Source organism: Homo sapiens, chromosome 15, assembly GCF_000001405.40.
Source record: "Homo sapiens chromosome 15, GRCh38.p14 Primary Assembly".
In the NCBI taxonomy this organism is placed as follows: Eukaryota; Metazoa; Chordata; class Mammalia; order Primates; family Hominidae; genus Homo; species Homo sapiens.
Window position 1 is genome coordinate 31278022 of NC_000015.10, and position 2830 is coordinate 31280851.

Genomic DNA, 2830 nt, shown 5'->3' on the forward strand with positions numbered 1-2830 from the left:
AATCAAAACCAGGCTTCTACTCCCTTAGCAGGTCCAGTCCTCTCCAGTCGGGCTGCATTGGGGTTTGACCCTTCCCATCAGTCTGGCTGCCTGGAGGGATGGTGGAGGTGCGTCTGAAGGAAGCACTGTCTTGTCAGACACCACCAGCTTGAGGCCATTATGCAGTCTTCAAGCTGGCTGGGGGAAGGGACACTATTGCCTAAGGGGGAGTGGTCACTTCCACAGGCCTTGCATGTACATAGGAATCCGAAGCTCTAGGTCCTCACTTGCACCTCCCCAGACTCCCCGTCCCAGATCTCAGGGTCCCTTCCCTTCCCTACCGAGGTCCTGACCTAGCTTGGGACACCCCTGGAGGCTGAGAGCTCCACTACACCTAGCAGTAACTTTGCGCCATGTCCTTGGTGTGATCCACCTCTCACTTCCATCCCCCAAATTCCCCAAATGCCGGAGATCAGGGAGGACTTCTGACTTTCCCATTTTGATTTCATTGGTTGTCATTCTCCATCATCTTCTGAGTGGTGCTCAGAGCAGCCCCGTCCTCCGGCTCCAGGTCCCTTACCCACTAGGATGTTGCGTCAGCTGGTCGGACCCCTTCCCCTGGCTAGAGTCCCCCTGGTTCACCACCCATGCTCCATACAGTGAGGAGGGCAGGACGGGGTACAGAGAGAGACAGGCTCACGATGCCCTCGCACCCTGAAGGGGCTGGGCCTCTGCACCAGCAACATTGGCGGGTCATTGTCCCACTGGTGGCAGCATTGTCTCAGGAGGGACCTTCCCTGAGGCAGAGGACAATTACTGGGGAGGAACAGGCTGTGAACCAGTCTCTGTCCAGTGGGTGGGGTGGGCATGAGGGCTGTGAGGAAGGTGTGGGGCGGAGCGCCTGGTGTCCACTCCCACCCTGCATTCAGCAGCCCTCGCTGTCTCCCCTCTGCTCTGCACTGTGGCTGCCTTGGGCCGCCTGGGGCTAAGGTTTGTCCCAAACCTCCAGTCCTGCAACGGTGCCCCATCCCTGGCATGGTCCCCACTCCACCCTGCCCCAGCAGGAGGCCAGTTTGTCCTGGATGGGAAGAAGGCCTCACGGGCAGGGGAGGCTCCCACGCATGCCACCCCTTCGGCCGTGCCCTGGGGTTCCGCTCTTGGGATTCTTAATGAGTTTATCCTTGAATGTGTGTTTTGTAAGTGAAGTCAATGGGGCAATGGAGCATCCACCAAGGCTCCTTTCCCTGCTTCCTTCACACCCCCTGTTAGGTGTTCTGGGCTGCCACCTGCCCTGCCACAGGCCCCGGCTGTCCTGCACAGACACTCCACGGATGAGACAGAGCCCTGGGCACCTGGGAGGTCTGCACATGCCCCACAGGGATCCCTGAGCCCAGGGCTGATTTTAAATAGCAGAGAAAAACACCCTTCCTGCTTTCTGAACAACGGCCCACACTTTCATTTGCTGCCTGCCCTGCTCTCAGAGTGTCTTCTCAATGGACAAACCAGAAGGGCCTGCAAGCTGCTGACTGTGGCCCACACAGCCCACACACTGGTCCCCAAATCTCACCTTCTTCCCCATCTTCTCTTCATGAGGAAGAGGCTCAGCCCCTTTCTCCCTGCCCAAACCTAGAAACACACTCCAAGGCCGAGTCCTATTAACTTGGGGAGGGTGGGAGTGTTAAACTTGAGCTCACCAAAGATTTCTGTGATTTTCCGAGATTGCATATATGACTGATTTGGGAAAACTTGCAGGGAACACAAGCCACATCCTGCCCGTAGGCCCGGCTTCTGTAGCGCCTATGGTGACCAGGTTGGCACTGACACCGCTGTGCCGCTGCTCTGTCCTGGCCCAGACATGCTGTCATGGCCTTGGGTGCCAAGTTAAATGAGGTCTGTCACCTGTCCCCTGCTCATGGAGCTGAGTATGTTTGAAGTTCATTTACTGTGTATTTTCCCCTCGGGGTGTGACAAATGAGCCCTACCCCCAGACAACAGTGCCAGAAATCCAAACAGGGTTGGGCTCTATCCCATCTGCCTGGGGCTCAGGGAGTCCCTCTGCTGTCCCCAACACCCACTCCTCATATCCCACCCCCCAGCACATGGAGCTGGAGCTGGGAACTCGCAGGCCCCTGGGGACCCATCTGCGCTGTTTGTTTGGGTGAGAGCTCTGTATTGACAGCAGCTCTCCTGGCAGCCCTCGGCAGAGAGAAGGCTGTGCCAAGTGGGTATCAAGCAACGGTCGGGCACACGCTCCAGATGACACATGCGGGGGTGGGGGCGCAGCCCTCTCCTACCCTGGGGGAGCCACCTCCCGATAATCCCTCCCATGGCTCCCCGGGGAGGGGCAGGAGAACACAGGATGATTGTCACAGATCATGTGCTGGGGAGGAGAGCCTCGCAGACCTGAGGCCGGGAAAGGGGGCAATGAAAACAGCCCTTTGTCCAGGGCCTCATCTGCCACACACTGGGCTTGTGTTTCTTGCTTTATGACAATTGGGCGAAACATTAGACTGGGCATCAATTATTCAGATTTCACTGTGAGGTCAGAACACAGCAGCTCCGTCCTGTCCCCACCCAGAGAGAATGAGAATGCCGGGGGAGTCAGTTCCAGGCTGTGGGAATTTAGACAAACTCCTGGGTGGGGTGCCTGAGCCCCCTGCCCCCACACTTGCACCCTCAGGTCTCAGCTGCCCAACCCCCACCAGGTCTAACCCTCCTCGACCCCCACTGACCAAACTGCTTTCCAGGTATTTGGGTGGCACTGAACACTAGGAGGCATTTCTCCATTTTCAGGCAGAAAGTGCAATTGAAGGAATTCTCTGGTGCTCAGTGACCTTCTATCCAAACCCAA

At 57.4% G+C, this 2830-nt stretch overlaps 2 annotated features.

Annotated features, from left to right (window-relative positions):
- Positions 474-974: an enhancer, noted in NCBI's record as "H3K4me1 hESC enhancer chr15:31570698-31571198 (GRCh37/hg19 assembly coordinates)". NCBI's record gives its function as "activates a minimal SCP1, AML or CMV promoter by ChIP-STARR-seq in primed H9 embryonic stem cells {active_cell/tissue: H9 hESC(primed)}" and the evidence as "EXISTENCE:reporter gene assay evidence [ECO:0000049][PMID:30033119]".
- Positions 975-1475: an enhancer, noted in NCBI's record as "H3K4me1 hESC enhancer chr15:31571199-31571699 (GRCh37/hg19 assembly coordinates)". NCBI's record gives its function as "activates a minimal SCP1, AML or CMV promoter by ChIP-STARR-seq in primed H9 embryonic stem cells {active_cell/tissue: H9 hESC(primed)}" and the evidence as "EXISTENCE:reporter gene assay evidence [ECO:0000049][PMID:30033119]".